This window comes from Homo sapiens, chromosome 4 (genome assembly GCF_000001405.40).
Source record: "Homo sapiens chromosome 4, GRCh38.p14 Primary Assembly".
NCBI classification, from domain to species: domain Eukaryota; kingdom Metazoa; phylum Chordata; class Mammalia; order Primates; family Hominidae; genus Homo; species Homo sapiens.
The window spans coordinates 122,606,974-122,628,267 of record NC_000004.12 but is presented as its reverse complement, the minus strand read 5'-3'; the positions used below and the strand labels follow the sequence as shown (position 1 = coordinate 122,628,267).

The following is a 21,294-nucleotide window of genomic DNA, read 5'->3' as shown; positions in this document are numbered from 1 at the left end:
TGTTCACAGGGCTCATGAATTCATTGCTGCACAGGAAGGATGTTGCCTATAAACTGACTAAATCACTTCCAACCATAAATGTATTATTATATTTCAAAGAAGTATGTAGCTAATCTTGTGACAAATGAAATGCAAATTCATTTAAAAGCGCTCCTGAATTAAACATGACTCCTTGGCATTAGAATTCTTCAACCAAAAAGAACACTAAATTAATTACTGCCATTTTTGGTTTTGTTAGGTGAGACACCCTTTCTATTAAACGAAGGTCCATGACATAAAACATAAGATTCTCAGACACAATAACATGAAAGCTCAAAACCTCAGTAGGGCAAAGGATACCACAGAGAAAATAATTTCTACATGTTTAACATATCTTTAATAGAAAAAGAGCCTTTATAAGTAAATAAGAAACAAATGAATAAATTGGCAAATAATATGAATCAGACAATTTGTGGAAAAATAAACACACTGATGAAAATATAGCAGATCTAACTATTGATCAAGGAAAGACAAACCAATGAGAGGATACTATTTTTGCCCCAATATGTTGGTAGATATTTAAAATATTCATAACATAAAGTATTAATGAGAGGAAAAGAAACTCTATGTTGTTGGGAGTATAAACTGGTATGGCATGTCAGAGGGAAATTTGGCAGTTTCTACAAAGTTTTTCAAAGTATCTTTCCACTCAGGAAGTGAAATTCAAGACATGTATTTTAAAATACAACATTAAAAGAATATATTTCACATATGCTTAGAGATCTCTATGTCTAAGGATGTTCATTGCAGCATTGTTTGCAGTGGATAAAAACTGGAAACAATCTAAATGTTTATCAGTAGGGTTATGAATGGATAAATTGTGGTACTGCCATACAATGGAATATTAATCTAATGAGATATCCCTGTGTGTGAATCCTGTATGGACTCCTGTCCCTGACATAGGTTGAGTGAAAAAAAAATTTATAGACTACATATGGTGAGATTAAGTTTTTATGTAAAAGTACCAGTTTTCTATATCTATATGTCTGTGCTATTTATTTTTATGTTTCTATCTCCATACATAATTCTATTTCCTTAAGTGTCTATGTGTCCCTATCTATTCCTTTATTGTTCTATGTATATAGGAAAAGAGTCTAGAGTGATACACAGTAACATCTCTGTGAGGTCCTATGGCTGCCCCCTGGGAAAGCATGGGGAGGAGGCTCCCATTCAGGTGATAAATGAAGGTTCCGCAGATCTCTTGGGAGGAGGACACAGGACACAGCGAAGGCTAATAATTGGACTACTTTATTTTTATGGTTGTGTATTGGTGGCTGCAGGGCCAAGACAAAGGGTGCTATAGCCACCTGTCGCCTTAGGGAAGGAAACAGGGATGGGTCTTGAGTCCAGAGAGAAGAGGATTTCTCTGATCATATTAGACAGGAGGCTGGAGAGGCTGGTGGAACTTGCCTCACCTTGTGGGATGGAGTTGGAGTGGACTCAGGTTGAAGAGTGCAGATGTTCCACTTCTTTCTCTCCATCCTCTAGGCTTAGTGGTCAAGGAATGAAGGACATCTGATCTCTAGCCTCACTGCTGAGTATCCCATGTTGGAGCCAAGATCTGAGGAGAGGGCCCATGTGGCTGCTGCTGGAACTCCTCCAGACCTAGCATTTCAGAAGCAGGACTGTGCTTCCAAACAATGACTTTGTGTGAATGTTAGCAAAGAGACCTGTCCTCAATGAACCCAGTCTTAAGAGTATCACAGAGTGACACACCTGAGTCTACTAGCAGAATAGAGGCCCCCATTCCCCACAGAAAAGGTGCTGTGGATAAGCAGCATCGGTGAATGACCCTCTGCTGCGACACACTGACCACCAGACTGTGGGGCTGCCAGTGATACCGAAGAGGCCACATCAAGAGCTAGAGAACACGGGGCCCGAGAAGGCTCTTGTTTTTCTCTCGTAAGACAACAATGACCAGGATTGACCCTTTGGTCTCCATGAGTCCCTGACCTTCTTAGAATGCACAGTAGTGATCTAGAGTCATGAAATTTGAATATTGGAAGGAACTGTTCTTGTTATGTACATAATGGGTTATATATACACACTCTTACTTTTACATATATTCTAGAAAACAAACCAAGTCAGTGATATCAATACATGCAGTGAGTTCAAAAGAATGAGAGAAGAGAGAATAGGAGTGTTTAAACTTCCTTAAGGAAGATTTTACAGAAGGGACTTTAGCAAATCCTTGATGATTTTCCTCGTTCGAATTTTCTTCCTCAAGTCAAATAAGTGAGAATATTTTCAGCTGTTACCTGAACATCGTTGGAAAGTACAAAAATTGTCTTGAATTATTTTAGTGACATTTTTCTTCTAGCTTGACAGAGATCTATATAAAGCCCAGAGACAAGCCACCTGTCTGAATACCTTTAGTATGTATAATAGTAGTGGTACACATGATAATATCACTCTAAACACTGGAGGCCTCTCTTCCCACAGTTTGCCATGCAGAACATCTAATTCTATCCATGAGGGGCCAAAGCCAGTGAAAGCAGAAAAGGAGTATTCACCACGCAGGGATCACAGAAAGAACTATGAGGACCGGGCCAGAGAGTTGGGGACAAATAGTGTTCAGCCCAGTTTTAGACCTGGCACAGTTTTCCCATGCAAAACCATTCCTCTTCAGACTTCTACCCCTTTAGTTCCCTGGCCTCATTTCCGTCCTGACCAGGTGTTCTATAAACACAGTCCATTAAAGAAAATTCTTAATATATGTCCATGAATCCCCTTGGGTAAATGACTAAAGTTTCATACTTTCATGGTGACGACCTTGGCTATATTCCTGGAAAGTCCACATCTAGTAAAACTCATCACTGTACTCCAAGGTACCAAATAGACATGGAAACTAAGTAAAAGTGGTTTGTTTGCTATTCAAGTGTAGCTTCCAGCCAAGTTGCTGACTCTCAGCCACTCTGGTATAGACATTCTGGAGCTGCCACACTCATGGCTGATGGTGCTCACATGCTGAAGAAACACAGTTTGCATCATCCTTCACCGAAGTCTCTGGAGGCTGGAAAACAAACAGCAGTTGCATGACATTTCCATTGAGAATTTGATGAAATTTAAGGTTTTGTTTTGCTCACAATATAAATACAAAATTTTGCAAATAATTTCAGGAGGTTAGGGGATCTCTGAAACACATGTATGGAACCCGGGAAATCCACAGATGCCAAGCTAAGCCCCCATGTGCTAACAGGAAAGGATCAAGGAAGAAATGGACACTGGAGTTTTTTAATAACTCAGATGGGCCATGTGTAGAAATGACAAATTGTTTTTCATTGTCTCTCCCTTCCTCTTCCCTTTCTCTTCCCTTCCCTTTTATTCCCCACCTTAAGAATAAATTCTATATTCTAGTCTTGTTTTCTGCCTGGATATAAGTAGTTGCTGTTGGGGCTTAAGTGTGACACTTTGAGACAAAATACAGTGAGTTCTGCTATAATGTGACCCACGTGTTTCTAAAAAATCACTGCACTATACAAAATCATAGAATCAAAACTCACATGCTTACAGGAAAATGAGATTAGGAGCACAGCATTCAAAAACTTCATCGGTGACACTGAAAAAGAAGATAGCAACCTAATTTAAAAAGATAGCTGTTTTAGGCATGTTAAATGGTTAAGAAATACATAAATAATAAAATAAACACATTGTTTCACCTAGAAAAGGACTTTAAGTTTGTTCATGGAGGTGGGTGTTGGAAGGGTTACAGTTTGTGAGTTATTGAGACATGGCGAAGGAGAGTTCTCTGGGATGGAAAATTGTGACACCAGATGTCGATGGGTGTGGCTCATTACACATGCAGTGAACTGAGGATGCTGGTGGCTGTCAGAGGTGTGAGGACATCTTATGTATTCCTACATGGCTCAGTTCAGCTGGATGCAGTTTTCTGCATTCACTTAGCATTTCTTGCAGATGAAATTAAACATAAAGAAACACAAAGTTCTTGTTATACTCAAATTGTTCCTTGATATATTAACCTCATTGGAATACATTATCATTTTCAAGATGAGCCTTATAGCAGGACTGATTGTATCTAGATTATAAAAATAATTATAATTTAAAGAGTAAGCAGCCCTTAAAACGCCAATGAAATGATACTGTAAAGGTAGCAATAACGTTAATATTTCTGAGCAGTGACTAATTTACTTTGCCCTAGTGACTCAAATACTTTTGGGCCTCCTTGCTCCCACCCTAAGGTTCATCTCCACACAGTGATAAATTCAAATGAAATGCAAATTGGGATCCATAACTTTAAATGATGTTGTGAATCCTGAGTGAAGTTTTCTCAGGGCTAGGGAGGAGTTGTTACAATACACACAAGACTTCCTAGAACATCCTCATTATACATTTTTATCGCTGAGGGCCCATACCATGTGGCAGCTACACTAATCTTACTTCCTCTCTTGTCCACACTTCCTTATATCCTCTACCTGCACCTCCCAAAAGCCCAACAAAATTCCAACCTTTGCTGGATCTTTTCTTATTACCCTTTCCTCTCTTTCCCTCTTTTCCTGCCCTTTTCCCTGAGATTAAAAATCCCATACCTATGTATGTTACATTTCTATTGCTGCTGTAACAAATTACCGCAAACACTTCAAGGAGATGTGTATCTATTCAGGTAAGAACAAAACAGCATAAATTTATTATCTTACATTTCTGAAGGTCAGAATAATAACTCAAAATGAGCTTTATGGGACTAAAGTCAAGGTGTTTTTGGCTGGGCTGCATTCTTTCTGAAGGCTCCAGGGAAGAATTTGTTTCTTACTTTTCCCAGACTCTAGAAGCCATCTGTATTCCTTGGCTTCTGGCCCTGCATCACTCCAGCCTCTACTTCTGAAACAACAGCTCCTTCTTTTACTTTGACTCTCCTGCCTTCCTCTTATAAAGGCTCCTGTGATTGCACTGGGCCCACGAGATAATCTAGGATAATCTTCCCATGTAAAAAATCTTTAATTTTTTCACATCTGCGAAGTCCCCTGGGTCAATGTAAGGTAACATTTTCACAGGTTCCAGGGATTAGGGCATGGATATCTTTGGGGCATTGGTAAGTCTATCACACCAGAGATGATATCCAAAAATTCTTAACAACTGATGTGCCACTTAAGGTAGAAATTCTGACTTTCAGAAAGCCCTCTGGTCATAGTGCTGGAGCAAGACTCTGAGACCCCTGATGTACTGGTGGATGGATTATGGAGAGGGCTAGGATGTCTCAGGGAGGGACTGGGTTGTCTAACATAGTGGTGAGGCACTCCAGGGCCAGGAGCAATGGTTCTCTCTAGGCAGTATGAAAGATATTTGACTTTTTTATTTTTTGTTAAACCACCAGTACAACCACACAAGTGTATTCTGGCTGAACACTGATCTGTCCATTCTCCTCCTTCTCTGATCAGTTTAGCCTCCCCTAGGCTTCTTAAAGTTCTCCCCTTCACCCTCATCCACGATCAGCATGCAAACCTCCCGGGATGTTATGTGCTGTACTTAGCCCTTTTACTTGGAATGTCTCATTTAAGCCTTATCACAACCCTATGAGTAGATTCTGTACTTGCCTTCCTTTTGCAATTACACACACAGGATCATATGTGCTATTAATTGTTAGGACCTTGATTTGAACTCAAGCTTTAGAAATTGACCTCCTAACCACCGTGGTTAGTGTCTTCAAGGAGATGCACATCTGTTTAGGTGGATAAGGAGTGCATGTACAAAGACCATACAGGCAATGTGGAGGCACCAAGTGGCAACCCTTAGTCCACATGCATTCATAAGTTGCACAGAATCTTGTCATATAGAATTTAACTATTACAGGGAGGAATTCTTGATCATGTTGTATGAACTCTTATCTACTGTATAAGGCCAAACCTGTATACTCTTGAATAGATATTCCATAATAAAAAGATTACAGTCAACTTCAGAGCAAATCAAGTGAAAACTCCAATTTATGTTGGCTACGTAACAGTCTAGAATAAAGTATGGTATTCTAAAGTATGTAATGAAATGAATGAATGAATGAATGAATGAATAAAATCTATAGTCAAGAGTTTCACTTATAAGACCTATGGTCTTATATAGTACATGACTCTCTAGCTAGAATATTATATTCAACTTTCTCAAATGGGTTAAAAGAGTCTCAGGGACAAGAGAAGCAGAAGAAAGGAGGATGATAAAACCATTTCTGGGCTTTGGATCTTTAATTAACCTCTACCCGGTCACAGATGCAGTTAGAAATGTGTTGCTCACACCCAGAGGAAATAGTATCTAACAGAAATAAGTAACACTACCCTAAGAGAAAACGAATCATTTATGGGTATATTTTATTTTGCTGTTTGGAAACATTTTTTGGTTTGGACAAGAATGAGCATTAGCAAGTTTGACTCATTTAATTGATGTATTATATAGAAGAGATGGACATTAGATAATTTTTAAAATGATGGTAGAGTGAGATCTTGATTGGGAAGGATAGATTTTCTATCAACTCCCTTAGAATCATTTGTGATATTAATAAATCAGATTGTTAAATAACATGACAGAAGCCAAAATAAATGCTTAGTAAAGATGCTTTGGTGAACAGTTGGAAGCAAATTCTATTTTAAACCCTTGAAACTTGGTAAGAACCTAAAATATTCTTGCTAATTTGGAAAATACCTCTTTATTTAAAATTTCCTAAAAGGTAGCCTCTCCTCCTACTTTTATGATGGAATACTGGATGATTTTAGTCAAAAGACATAGTTATTACCATAAGAAAAAGTCCTGCATGAAAGCACATGTTGCCATCTTACTCATTATCAAAGTGCCCTTATGACTGTCAGAGAGAACAGGTAAGATGCCAGGGGAGGCCGAGAAAAAGAGATCAAAGTGTTTTTGTTTACTTTTTTGAAGTCTTGTAGTACCTACTGTTTATTATACATACTTCTTGATTCATGCTGAAAATTGGAATTCACCCATTCTCTCTTTTTCCTGTCAAAGATGCAGATGGGGCACATTTCGTTGACTCCATCAATCCCTGCCCCCACACATTAGCACATGCACACGTATACCTAGCCAGTGGAAAAGAAAAAAGAGTTACTCACATTCATCCATTTTACAAAGATTTCCAGGCTGCAATGGGAGGGCTTTACCTCTCCCTGAAGGATGAATAAATAGGTAGCTTAACTGACAACCTGTTCTCAGTCAAGCTGAAGTGAAAACGAGACCAAGGTCTAGCTCTACTGTTGGTACTTATGAGATCCAGTCCTGGCAACATGGAGAGGATTGTCATCTGTCTGATGGTCATCTTCTTGGGGACACTGGTCCACAAATCAAGCTCCCAAGGTCAAGATCGCCACATGATTAGAATGCGTCAACTTATAGATATTGTTGATCAGCTGAAAAATTATGTGAATGACTTGGTAAGACTATATTTGTCACAACAAAATCTAAATCATACTTTTCAATTAATATAAAAGGAGGGTTTGGCTTATAAAAATAACTCAGAACAAATTTTCTTTTGCTCTAGGTCCCTGAATTTCTGCCAGCTCCAGAAGATGTAGAGGTAAGACCAGTTGAATTTATTTCTGAAAATACATTGGACATAAGTTTTTAAATCCAATAAGAAAGACATTAGCATGATTATATAGGAGTATACTGAATTTTAATGAACTTAGCGGTCTAATAATTGATGAAATATTTATTTATATTTTGGTTAAATTCATTGATTTACCAAAAACCAACTAAAAAATGCTATATTATATTCCTCATAAACTATGTTTATCTTCAAGAATCTCTAAGAGTACTCCTAAGTAGTATTGCTGAGACAGAATAACAAAACTAGAAACGAAATCTATACTCTGATCAGTTTCTGAACAATGCACAGCTAGTTACTCTTTAAGAGCCCTTGGGCATGAAAGCTTTTGAGCCTTCTTTGTTATCCTACCGAAGAAACATAGATACATACAGTAGGAAGCAGAATTAACCTTTTAATAACAAACTTAAAAAAGAAAGAAAGAAAGAATTAGATTACAGGGACAGCATGGAGAAATGGTGGTGTGGAAATCAAAGCTGTCCTTCAGAATATAATTCACATATACCTTGGCCTCAGTGAGTCTTGTCTTTGGCCTTCCGTGAGGTCTTTTGAAAGAACCATTTTCAACAATTCATCCCGTCTCTTAAGCCATTTAAATCCATTAGAGTTCCAGGAAGAAGAGGCCTGGCATGTAGTTCAAGAGTGCTGTCCGCTGATCTTTTTCTCCAGTAACTTCTACGATCTGATCTTCTGGTCTGGTACCCTGAGAGTATAAATGCAATTGGGGAAATGTTTTCATTGTCACAGACCTTTAATTGCATAAATTAGAATAACTAAAAGTGCTACCAGTAATTAGGACACTACAAAGGGGGAGACTTAAGAAGATACATTGCAAAGAAAACAATTATCGTAAATGACTATGTGTAAAAGTTTAGAAAGTGAATGAGTCACAACTATTGCTTTTCTCTAAAATTCACTCTCTAGCTCTGAACCCAAACACTCTCATTTACTAGGTCCTTTTCTAATAAGCAGCATCTAAAATGAAAGTAGCACATTCAGCTTATTGGAAAGACTTTTCCAATAACTGAAAATACTTCTTAATCAATGTGCCTAATTATCAAAACATACATTTCTAGCATCTCATGCACCTTGTTTAACTGTTATGGTTAGAGTTCTTTCCAGAGTTTCCTGGCTGTAGTCTATAACTTGCAAAATAAGAAATAAGAAAGAGATTCCACCTTCTAACCTGAGTTGGTCCAGTGGGTACTTCCTTTACGTGTGTTGTTAATGAAAGATATTTTTTATCTTACATCATAATGAAAGGATTTTGTCTCCGTGATACTGTATCTATCTGATAATCTGATCAAGCAATGCTGGCTATGATATAAGTGAGTAATAGTGTAACTTGGATCTTTAAGCTATACTAGTAGGCAAACTCAGGAAGAAAGAAATCGTTCAAGGTCACATTAGCATTATATCAAGCTAGCTTCAAAGTAGGGTCTGTAAGAGATTTTAAAAGATTTAAAAGTTTAATGAAAATAAAACTATCTAATGTTGCATGCATATAGTAATTATCTAAGATCTCTAATTGGCCTAGCCAGGCATCTTTCTTTTTCTCTTTTTCTTTCCGTCTAATCATATAACCAGTGGTTCTCAACCGGTGGTGATTTTTGTGCCCCAGAAAACATTTGGCATTGGCTGGAAAAATTTCTGGTTGTCACACTTGGAGGTAGAATGGGGGTGCTACTGGCATCTAGTAGGTAGAAGCCAGGTACTAAACATTCTAGAATGCACAAGACAGCCCTGACAACAAAGAATTATCTAGCCCCAAATGTCAGTGGTATCACCGTTGAGAAACCCTGATATAAACCTAGTTTGTGTGTAGGACAAAGGTAATCCTTTTTTTTTTTTTTTTTTTTTTTTTTTGAGACGGAGTCTCGATATGTTGCTAGGCTGGAGTGCAGTGGTGCGATCTCAGCTCACTGCAACCTCTGCCTCCCAGGTTCAAGCGATTCTCCTGCCTCAGCCTCCCGAGTAGCTGGGACTACAGGCGCACGCCACCACACCCAGCTAATTTTTGTATTTTTTAGTAGAGACGGGGTTTCACCATGTTGGCCAGGATGGTCTCAATCTCTTGACCCCGTGATCCACCTGCCTTGGCCTCCCAAAGTGCTGGGATGACAGGCGTGAGCCACTGCACCCAGCCAGGACAAAGGTAGTCTTGCCCAATTAGCAAGACTTCTTAGTGTGAATGGCCAGGGCTTTCTTTGCAAAAGGAAAAAAATGTAAAAATAGGCCTCAGCTGGGTGAAGTGGCTCCTGCCTGTAATCCCAATGCCTGTAATCCTTTTGGGAAGCCAAGTTTGGAGGATTGCTTGAGGTCAAGAGTTTGAGAACAACCTGGGCAAAATAGTGAGACATCCTGTTTCTACAAAAGAAAAAAAAAAAAGCCCTAAGGAGGTAAAAAATTTCAAAAATTCAATTGCAAAACAACAAAGCCAAGTGTGACTCCTGGCAAAAGCAGCACTTGACTTGTTCTTCAGCTGAAGAGGAATGGTTTGTTAATTCTTGCGTTTGACTTTACTACCGCTCCTTCTAGTCTGCAAAACAATGTAGCAGCAGAAAACTCCTCATGTTCTCATATGTTAAAGCATGAGGGAAACAAAGTCTTGCCTTTGGAGTCTGTTGTCACCAAGGCATAGCAAAGGAAAGCAATGTTCATGCTTCCAGACAGTGCTAAATATGGAGTTGGCATCCTGTAGACTCCTGAGTGATAGGGCACCTGAGGCTGCCTAAATCAAGGTTAATCTTTTCACTCTCCTTCTCAATACATCCTTAAGGCAGTTTAGTGGCGACAGCCCTCTACTTCTTTTCCTCTTTTGAGGCTGCCTTTGATGTGCATATAAAGCCAATTCCCGCAGTTATTTATCCTGGACCACATATTGCCAGACACAGCTCTGCTGCTTGCAGAACAGAAGAAAACAAAACCCCATTGTCTGTTAACAGAGGTAAACAAGGAAGGGTGGGAGAGGAAGCACAGCCCCATCAATATGGGCGTCAGTGTCCAGGTACCATTCAAAGGCTTTCAGAAAAGATTTTCAGTTGTTTTTACAACTGAAATTGTAGTTTTACAATTTCAGTGCTTTGAGTACCGGTACTGACCATTCCTGGCAATATTATCTCAAGGGAGTTCATTTGGCTGGCAGGGCCCCTCTACTTCTTTGGAACCTAATTTTCTTTCAGCATACACATGTAAATGTTAACTCAGCAAAATGAGCCTCTGTGAGAAATGCTGGTTTTTCAGATCATCACGGATGAAGCAGTCAGTATTTTCAGTTTCAGCTGGAAAATTTACCTCTTTAAATATGAATATTATTTTTTCCAGTAAGTTAAGCCGGTTGTGGTCAAAAAGAAGAGAAAAGAAAAAACTTCAACAAACATGAACGTGTGGTTTTCAAGGAAAAAAAAGTGCTATATTGAACATTTATAAATAGTTTCTATTAAATAAGCATTTTGGCAAACATATGGAAAGGACACCACCTTGCCCTTATGAGAGGCAATCTGCCTTGATATAAGGAAACCAGATAAGCTGCTTCTCGGCTTGTGGCTATATATGCAAAGCAAACCTGATAGGTTTGTGTCTTAGAGATGCATATTATTAATCTACATTCATATTGGGTAAGCATATGGGTTGGAAAATGCAAAGCAGGCCAGATGCTGTGTTCAGCTGATTGTCCATAAGAAGATTCAGGTAATATTGTTACGTATAGGCCTGCCTTTGTAGGGACTGGGAGGGATTGAGGCTTCTGGTTATAAGGTAGTAGCTTCCATATGCATAGTGAAATGAAAATATAGCAACTTCAGGGGGAAAATAGCATCACATACACACGTTTGCTGAAAGAAAAAAGTAAGTTGGATACAAGTCACCTGGATATAAGCTTTTGGATCAGCATTAAAATTTTTCAACAAGTCAGTATATGTTTGGTTTTTCCAGTAAATTCCATTTCCTTTCCAGTTTGATGGCTAAGCTTTTGGCTTGTTAGTCATTAGCTATTTTTCCAAACCAAGAGATAAGTGTTTGATGCTTATTTTATCCGCTCCTCCATTCTCTGAGACCCTATTCTTACCTTCTAAGAAATGACTTTCCGTCTCATTGGTTGGACAAGCCTCAAACTGTTCCTCAACTGCTTGATTCAGGCAGAATCCTAACCCTAACTGAGCTGGGAGTATGAAAAGGGTTTTAGAAAAGTCATGTGTGATCTATGGCAAGTATATTGAATCTTAGATGTAAAATATGCTATCAGAGGGAGGTACCCACTTCCTTTCTCCAAAGGAGGGGCTTTAATTCATTTTCTTCATCTGTTAACTTTACAAATATATGTTGATCATTAACTGGCAAGACACTATGCCTGGCGCTGTACAGAATAAAATGCTGCTCAAGACATGTCATGATAGATACATTAACAGAAACCACAAACAAATGAAAAATGTTCTTCATCAGACTATAACATAATTTACCCAAAGCTGCCACTAGTCACAGTGTAAGTTTTAGAGCCTCATAACTCAGCAAATGTGTCCTAAACCGAACTAACTCTCCTTTATAAAACACAAAGGTCTTGTCCACCACCCAGACATCAAAATGGTCCTCTGTGTAGCATCAGGAATAAAGCATTGTGAAGAAGTGAGGCTCCTTTCTCTCTTATCTGCGAAGCAGGGGATTGTCCCTTTTTCCCATCCCAAAGATTAAGTAGGAGGTGAAATCATACCTCACTCATCTGTTGAAACGATGTAATGCACGACATTGCAGAAGAGATAGAAATAGAGGATTGGGAAAGCTATCTTTTACTTTCTGAATAATGTTTGTTAACATATATACAAATTGTTTATCTTTCAGACAAACTGTGAGTGGTCAGCTTTTTCCTGCTTTCAGAAGGCCCAACTAAAGTCAGCAAATACAGGAAACAATGAAAGGATAATCAATGTATCAATTAAAAAGCTGAAGAGGAAACCACCTTCCACAAATGCAGGGAGAAGACAGAAACACAGACTAGTAAGATTGTCATTTGTCATCTCTCTTATTTGTACTTATAAACTATATATCTTGCATTACATAAACATACACACACACCTGTAGCCAGGGCTGCTGGTGTCTTCCTTACCTATAGTTATGCCTTATTATACATGGTGCTTTTTTTTTTTTTTTTAAGACAGAGTCTCACTCTGTCACCCAGGCTGGAGTGCAGTGGCGTGATCTCTGCTCACCGCAAGATCCACCTCCCGGTTTCACGCCATTCTCCTCCTACCTCAGCCTCCTGAGTACCTGGGACTACAGGTGCCCGCCACCATGCCCGGCTAATTTTGTTTTTGTATTTTTAGTAAAGACAGGGTTTCACCATGTTAGCCAGGATGGTCTCGATCTCCTGACCCCGTGATCCGCCCGCCTTGGCCTCCCAAAGTGTGGGGATTACAGGCATGAGCCACCGCACCCGGCCTATACGTGGTGCATTTTAAGAAGTAGGGTCACTCTTTTAAGCCCACAGACTTGAAAGTATTCAAAAACCCAATTATAATTTCCTAGTAGTCCTTGGCAGCTGGAATATGTTAATATAGCTTCTCAAGGTGAGGAAGTCATTAGGCAGAGAATCCAACTGTGATTTTGGAGTTAAGAACTATTTCCTCTCATATGGTCACAGATAACTTGTATTCTTATTAACAGGAGCTAGATCCTAGCTTTCTAACAAGAAAAGAGCCTACAAGAAGACTAGGGCAAATCTTAAACTTTGCCTCCTCTCTTAAATCATATTACTATCCTGTACATCAGCAGAGTCAGTATTGAATTGAAATAGGGAGGCCTCATTACTTGGCTGGGGAATTTTAACAGTCCCAAGCTTTTAGGAGCCCTGAGATCCTCTTGTATATGCCAACTCATGAGCAATGCAGATACCCAAGAACATGAGTAATTCAAAGATTAAAGCCAGTGGGAAAATACATAAAATAAATTACTCTCAAAAAAAATTTTTTTTTTTGAGACAGAGTCTCAGTCTGTCGCCCATGCTGGAGTGCAGTGGCAAGGTCTTGGCTCACTGCAGCTTCCACCTCCCAGTTCAAGCAATTCTCCTGCCTCAGCCTCCCAAGTAGCTGGAACTACAGGCGCACACCATCACGCCTGGCTAATTTTTGTATTTTTAGTAGTGCCGGGGTTTCACCATGTTGGTCAGGCTGGTCTCGAACTCCTGACCTCGGGTGATCTGCCCGCCTCGGCCTCCCAAAGTGCTGGGATTACAGGTGTTAGCCATCGCACCCAGCCTCAAATTTTTTAAATTAGTTCTTTTGCCTCCAAAAACATTCCACATGTGATTCAAATGAAATCTTAATTATATTATCAAAATTATTCTTATTTCTTTTGATTGCTTGGCCTGGTGACCATGTGAAAAATATCCCTCTAAATCTTTCCTCAGAAAGAAAGGAGCTGAACATATTTTTGAAACTCATGAAGTGGTAGCTTTGGAGCTAAACTTAGAACTCTCCAGTTAAGCATGTTCATCTTATAGATGAGGAAAGTGAGATCTACAAAGGAGTTAAGTCACTAGCCCCAAGTTCCATAAATAGTGTCAGAATGAGAATTAGAACGTATATCTACTATCTTTTAGTGAAATGCTCTCACTACAACATCACACTGGCATTGAGATGCTAACTACCAAGCAATGGCTTGGTGTTTGGTATCTAAATAGGGATAAAGACAAAGAGCATAAACTAAGAAAGCTTTTTAAAAATCTAAGTGAGCAATCCATATATGAAAAACTGTTCAATCTCCCTAGTAATCACATAAATGCGAGTTAAAACAAGGAAATCCTGTTTTTTCCAATTAAACATTTTAAACAATACCCTATAATAATAAGAATGCTCCAAGTGAAAAGAGGTAAAACCCTTTATAATGTATATCAAAGCCTTAAAATTTTTATCCCTTTAATTTAGTAATTCTACTTCTAGGAATATATCAAATAAGCAAAGATATATATGAAAAATTATTTACAGAGATGTTCTTTGGAGTAATGTAGACAAAAATAAAAAGTTAGATACAGCTGGGTGTGGTGGCTCATGCCTGTATTCCCAGCACTTTGGGAGGCCGAGGCAGGCGGATCACCTGAGATCAGGAGTTTGAGGCCAGCCTGGCCAACATGGTGAAACCTGGTCTCTACTAAAAATACAAAAATTAGCCAGGCATGGTCGTGCGTGCCTGTAATCCCAGCTACTTGGGAGGCTAAGGCAGGATAATTGCTTGAATCCAGGAGGTGGAAGTTGCAGTCAGTGGAGATCGCGCCACTGCACTCCAGCCTGGGTGACACAGCAAGACTGTCTCCAAAAAAAAAAAAAAAAAAAAAAAGTTAGATGCAACCTTTGGGTCCAAAAATAGTAAGAGTTGCATCCTATGTTGGAATACAGAACAACCACTACATGTCATATTTTTGAAGATTATTTAACACTTAGGAAATCCTGTGATATGTTAAGTGTGAAAAAAAAAAAGCAAATCACCAACTGGTATAAATAATGTAAATGCACAATAATAATTAAAAATACCCAAAACACAGAGAGAATATACATTAAAACATTGCAGTGGGATTCCTATCTCTGGGAATGGGATTACAAGGACTTTTTCCATTGTTACTTTCCAAACAGTTTTATGTACTTCTCGAATGTTTTTCAGTGAACATAATTTATGTTTTTAATGAAAAAAAATTTTAAGAAACATTTTATTACGAAAAAAATTTTAAAGAAGACTGTTACTTTTTCATTGATTTCTAGACATGCCCTTCATGTGATTCTTATGAGAAAAAACCACCCAAAGAATTCCTAGAAAGATTCAAATCACTTCTCCAAAAGGTATCTACCTTAAGTTTCATTTGATTTTCTGCTTTATCTTTACCTATCCAGATTTGCTTCTTAGTTACTCACGGTATACTATTTCCACAGATGATTCATCAGCATCTGTCCTCTAGAACACACGGAAGTGAAGATTCCTGAGGATCTAACTTGCAGTTGGACACTATGTTACATACTCTAATATAGTAGTGAAAGTCATTTCTTTGTATTCCAAGTGGAGGAGTACAATATATTAGCGATGGGAAAAAAAAACTCATAAGTGTGCAAAGTCAGGATTATTTCCCCATAATCACTATACAATAGTCTGATTTCCTATGTTATTGATTTCTATGACTTCTGAAGTTTTTACTTTATCTCACTGCCCAACTTTGACATTTCTTGGTTGAAGGAGAAGGCTAAAATTTTTAACCAAAAATACAGTTTTGACATCTATTGATTTTATATTAACCTTGAGCTTGATTACCACCAGAATGAGGTCTATTATGATCATAACTTAAAACATATATACCTTCATTCCAGCTGATAATATAGAAGCATAGAAGCAAAATATATAAAAGCAAAATGAAAAGTTGACATCTTTATTCTTTTAAGGAAATGAAAACTGAGTGTTTAAAAACTTATATCTGAATAGTTTTTTAAATCTCAGAATGTCTAACATATAAATATGTAATTTATTTATGCACCGGGGGATACTAGATGGCTATAAAAGCCTTACTTCTTTATTGGGGTTTATAAAAATATTTAAATACTATAGATATGAATGTATTTATGGAATAGACTCTTAGTCAGTGGCAATAGAGTATTAAGAAGTGGATTTAATATTACCTTCCTCCAGCCCCCAGTCCCCTTATAAGCTAACATTTTAAGCTTGTGGAAATGGCAATTTAAACCTATAGAGGGACATATGCCAGGTTGTCTTCTGGAACCAAACATAGTTTTAAAAGTATTGTAGCTCTCTTCTCAAACTGTTATAATGATCATATTATGAGCAAGCTAGTAACTCCAAATATTTGTCTCCTTCTTTCTTCTTTCGTTTCTTTTCTTCCTTCTTTTTAAAATGAAACTTCTGCTTTGACAAAATTTCACAACATGTTTAACATTTTGGACACTTATAGTTACTATACTTTGGATAAGACAAATTCAATCACCTATATAATTTAAAAATCAGGAGACAAACCAAGAGGCCAGGACTCCTGTCCAAGTTGAAAACAGACTTTCGCATAAGCATTCCAATCTTTCAGACTTGGGTAGTAAAAACAAGCAACCTACTCTACCTGCCATTTCATATCAACTCCAGCACAGCTTGTTTAAACATGAAGTTAAAAACTCTAGAAAAGTAAAATGTTCGCTAGAATGGTATAAGCTATTTGAGAATCTCTTATTGTTAAAATAGTTGTGATTATGCAAGAGGATGTGGGATGAGAAATGCTTTATGCTCTGAGAAGAAAAATTATGTGCTTAAAACAAATACAGACTTAACCTACAGTTCTAAAAGATATATTGAGAATTATTTAATCAAATCTCAATGAAATGTTTTATCATCAGCAAGTAGACTCAGAAAAAAGAAAAAAAAATTTATCATCAGAAACAAGGTACTCTGTTTTAACATTTTAGAACATGTATGACAAAGGAATTATGTGCCTGATGATGATAATATATATCTAAAATGTGCCTCAGTTTCAAATACGCCAGCCCGGGTTGTTGTGACAAAATGTGGAAGCAGGCACAAAGATAGTGAGAAAGATGGAATCTGTATTTCTTGTTTCTGAATGTATAGCTATTAACTTCTTGGATATTGTATTTCATATTTAAAATAATGTATTTCTTTTGGCATGTTTATTGTTAAAAATTTCTGTTCCAATTATTTTGATCAGGGTCTCTATCTTAAAAGTAAAAATAACTCAGTGAGGGTTTGGCTAAGAGCCTTCATTAAACAGAGTTTAAACACCCAGATAAACTCTGCTGTTTAACCAGAGTTAAACCCACCAGCACTCCAGGAAAGGCAATGCATTGGAATAAACAAGATGAAGCAGTGAGACTTGAACAGCTCCATCTTCACTGCTCTATGTTCAAGATGGCCAGTTCTTAAAAGGAATATAAAGATAACCCATAAATATAACTGTTCATCTATGGACAGTAATACAGGAGACGTGAAATTTTGTTGACTATGAAATAGTGGTCACTGTTTAAACTCTTTGGGTTTCCATTTCTTTATCTGTAGAATGAGAGTGCTGGACTTAATCTCTAATGTCTATTCTTTCTTTTTTAAAGCTTTAAATGTCTATGAATATCTAAAGTTCTGGGTATTCTTACAGAAACATCTGATCATACTTCTGAGTAAAACTTTCTACTGAGTCTGATGTTCAGTTGCTCAGTATTATTTCAATAACATTTGTAGCAACACTCACTGCAGGAACAAGGGACATATTCCAAGAAAAAAAAGGAAGGAAGGAAGGAGGGGAGAAAAGGAAACATTATTATAGGTCATGAGAGTTCAGGGAAAATTAATCATGATCTTTATTATTTTAGTTCAAAGTGTCTTCTTGGAACACTTGTATAAAATTGTAGCATTATTATTCTATATTATTGCTCTGTTGTATTTACATATGCATCTGAGAATTTAGCTAATATGAACTATGTAGTTTATAACTTAATAATTATTTATTATATATTTGATTTTAAATGTTCATGTTTATGGCTTCTTATTTAAGACCTGATCATATTAAATACTACCCGCCCAGTACAACCGTCTTTTGTGATTCCCTGGAAACCCTTAATTCAATAGTCCTGACTGAAAATAAAAGATTATCCTTAGTCTCTGGGAGCATATAGTTTTTACATGTACATGGTAAAGATGATCTTCTCTTCTCACCTGTTCTCACTGAAATGGATCCTGTCTCTGCCTCAAGGATATCACCTCCTTTGCAGCCCTCCCAAATGTATGGCACATTCAGGAGGAGTTAGAGATATTCTTCCCAATGCCCACTGCCACCACTGCACCTACACTCTTGCGCAAAATTCTCTCCTGCGTTCAAGTTGATCCTATCTAGCTTTTCTGTCCTCTTCTTACTAATGATTGTCATTTCCTGGCCACTCCTCCATGTTCAGTGGGGACTGAGGATGCTCCTTCTCTCAAATCCAACGTCTGCCATCATCTGGGCGACTTCAGTGCCCACGGGGAAAATTCCACCAGCACTGCAGCGTCTCAGAACCTTAGCCTCCTCAGTTCTGAGCACCTGCATCTTTTTACCCCATCCTGTGGTCCACTGCCATGACTATGTCCCAGACTTTATCACCTGGGACACCTTTCTCTCAGAAATCTATGTAAAGATTTATATATGTAAATATAAAACCATCAGCTGCTAGTTTTTTAGCTCTCAAACTGCCCTACTTCTACTGTGTCTGTCCTGAGACTCCAAAGCTAGGCCTTAACCCCTCCCCATTCTCTCAATTTATTAGTTTTACTCCCTCCCTCACAGAACCAGCATCCCTGATCGGTCCCTTGAACTACAGGCCAAGCAGCACACACCATCCCCTGCCCTCCTCATTCTTCTTGAGTAGCTGCCTACAAACATTCTAGCTGGCTATCTTATCCTCGGTGCCCTAATCCAGCTTCAAACATTGGCTCCAGCCCCTCGCCTTTGGAGGTCCTTTCAAACTCCACTTCCTGGCATTCTGGAGTCAGTTTCCCACTTCACATTCAGCTCTGAATATTTACCTGCTTTCAACATCTGCCACAGCTTTGGATAAGAGACCCCTCCATCTACTCCAGTCCCCAGTCAGCCTGGGCATAGCCTCACCTGTGTGCAGGAAAGGAATTTTCATATTCACAGTCAAGCTCATTGAAAGAATAGTCTATACATGTGTCTAGACACTCTCTCACCTCCTATCTACTAATCAAACCACTATAATCTGATTTGTACCCATCTCACACACTGTCATTGTATCATTGGAATTGCCCTGTTTCTGGTCAACAATGGCCTCCTAATAACCAATTCACAATGTATCTAAGTCCTTAGCTTACTTGATCTTATCATGGTTTTTGCTACTCTCAACAACCCCCTCCGTTTTCCTTATGACTTTGGAGGCCCCTTTTTGTCTGGCTGAGGTCTTACTCTCTGACCATACATACTCAGTGTCAGTTGTTGATTTGCCTTCCTGTGTCCTCTCCTTAGAAGTTGATGTTCCTGACGATTCTGTTTCTGGTCATCTTTTCACTTTAAGCCTTCCTCCTCGATAGTCAAATGTGCTCCTGTTCTTTTAAATACCCCCTCTATGCTGTTGACCCCTAAATCCATAGCTAAAGGCTAGACCTCTCTGCTAATTCCCAGGGCCACATATCCAACTGCTCCCTGGAGATGTCCTCTTTATCTCCCAGGCTCTTCATCTCAACATGCTAAAAATTGATCTCTTCACTTTCCCCCACTTCCATGACCTTCTCCTTTTCAAGAGTTCCCTAAACTTAATTGAGGGGACTACATCCTCCTAGCCTCCCAGACTCTGCCTTCTCCTTTACTCACTATAACCATGATCACTAACTGGGCCTTGTTATTTCTATATTTTAAATTCATTATTTCTTTTCTACTACCTCTGCCATCACCTTAATTCAGGCTATCAGCTCTTGTTGCAATAGTTAAAATACCTTCCAACTGGATTTCTAGCATCTCATCTACTCTCTCCAATCCACCTCCACATGGCCGCTGGAGTGATATTTGATCAAATGTAAGCATTATCACAACTTTCCCTTATTTAAAATCTTTCACTAGCTCTCCTCTAGAACAAAGCCCAGGCCTGAAGCAGGGCATGTAAGTCCTTTTTTCTTATGCTGCACTCAGCTCCCAGCTTCTCTTCACCTTGGACTTCACATTCCAGCCAATCCAATCTGCTTCTAGTTCCCTAGACACACCATGTTGTTTCATTCCTCTGTAACTTCACACTGGCAGTGACCTCTCCCTAGAATATTATTCCTCCATCCCCTTGTAATGCTTAGAAAACACTCAGGTTTGACCCAGCAATCCCATTACCGGGTATACACCCAAAGGGATAGAAATTATTCTACTGCAAAGACACATGCACACATATGTTTATTGCAGCGCTATTTACAATAGCAAAGTCATGGAACCAACCCAAATGCCCATCAATGATAGACTGGATAGAGAAAATGTGGTGCATATACACCATGGAATACTATGCAGCCATAAAAAGAAATGAGAATATGTCTTTTGCAGGGACATAGATGAAGCTGGAAGCTATCATCCTCAGCAAACTAACACAGGAACAGAAAACCAAACACCACATGTTCTCAATTATAAGTGGGAGTTGAACATTGAGAACACATGGACACAGGGAGGGGAACAGCACACACCAGCATCTGTTGGTGGGTGGGGGGTAAAGGGAGGGAACTTAGAGGATAGGTCAATAGGTGCAGCAAACCACCATGGCACACATATACCTATGTAACAAAACTGCACGTTCTGCACATGTATCCTGGAACTTAAAGGAAAATTTAAAAAAAGAAAGAAAAAATATACACATAACCTGAAAAAGAAAACACTCAGATGTCCATCAATATTCAACTTAGTCATCATTCTTCTCAAAGGATTTCCATTGCCATCTTACTGTATTTCTGTGACAGTGTTGACCCCTTCCCACTTTCAGAACTTGAGCATACTTTGATTATTAGACTTAATATAGTATATGCAGATTTATTTATTTATATGTCAGTTTCTCTTTCCAGAGAAATGGAAAGAGAAATTACTGTATATGAGGCAAGCACAGTGCCTCATACACAGTAAATAACATATAGTAGAAAACAAATGTTGGCAAAATTAAATTGAACTAAACACAAAACACATGATTTATTCATTGATGTATTTC

General features: G+C 38.4%; 1 protein-coding gene and 1 long non-coding RNA gene across 3 annotated transcripts in view, besides 1 other annotated feature; one reads left to right on the top strand and one right to left on the bottom strand.

The window, feature by feature from the left end:
* IL21-AS1 (IL21 antisense RNA 1) overlaps positions 1-9,285 on the bottom strand; it is a 70,174-nt gene extending 60,889 nt beyond the window's left edge. Inside the window, exons 1-6 of the long non-coding RNA NR_104126.1 lie at positions 8,776-9,285; positions 8,103-8,300; positions 7,197-7,400; positions 6,947-7,073; positions 3,551-3,598; positions 1,455-3,052 (exon numbers count right to left, since the gene is read on the bottom strand). This is a non-coding gene — a long non-coding RNA (IL21 antisense RNA 1). The remainder of the gene's footprint in view (positions 1-1,454; positions 3,053-3,550; positions 3,599-6,946; positions 7,074-7,196; positions 7,401-8,102; positions 8,301-8,775) is intronic.
* Positions 6,916-8,115: an enhancer, noted in NCBI's record as "CDK7 strongly-dependent group 2 enhancer chr4:123541308-123542507 (GRCh37/hg19 assembly coordinates)". NCBI's record gives its function as "activates an origin of replication core promoter dependent on BRD2, BRD4, P300/CBP, MED14 and CDK7 cofactors, with strong dependence on CDK7, by STARR-seq in HCT116 cells {active_cell/tissue: HCT116}" and the evidence as "EXISTENCE:reporter gene assay evidence [ECO:0000049][PMID:35650434]".
* IL21 (interleukin 21) lies at positions 7,202-18,160 on the top strand. Of its 2 annotated transcripts, NM_021803.4 has the most exons (5): positions 7,202-7,424; positions 7,532-7,567; positions 12,431-12,586; positions 15,340-15,417; positions 15,508-18,160. In NM_021803.4, the coding sequence occupies exons 1-5, from the start codon at positions 7,257-7,259 to the stop codon at positions 15,556-15,558; spliced, it is 489 nt and encodes a 162-aa protein (NP_068575.1). In that variant the 5' UTR covers positions 7,202-7,256; the 3' UTR covers positions 15,559-18,160. The 2 variants fall into 2 exon arrangements, with proteins under 2 accessions (NP_068575.1, NP_001193935.1); NM_001207006.3 differs by having other exon boundaries at positions 15,340-15,640.

Excerpts from the sequence above, each read along its gene's own strand:
- IL21 (NM_021803.4), top strand. The coding sequence starts at position 7,257 with ATGAGATCCAGTCCTGGCAACATGGAGAGGATTGTCATCTGTCTGATG. Across the intron at positions 7,425-7,531 it reads AAAATTATGTGAATGACTTG|GTCCCTGAATTTCTGCCAGC; the intron begins GTAAGACTATAT and ends CTTTTGCTCTAG. Across the intron at positions 15,418-15,507 it reads TCAAATCACTTCTCCAAAAG|ATGATTCATCAGCATCTGTC; the intron begins GTATCTACCTTA and ends CTATTTCCACAG.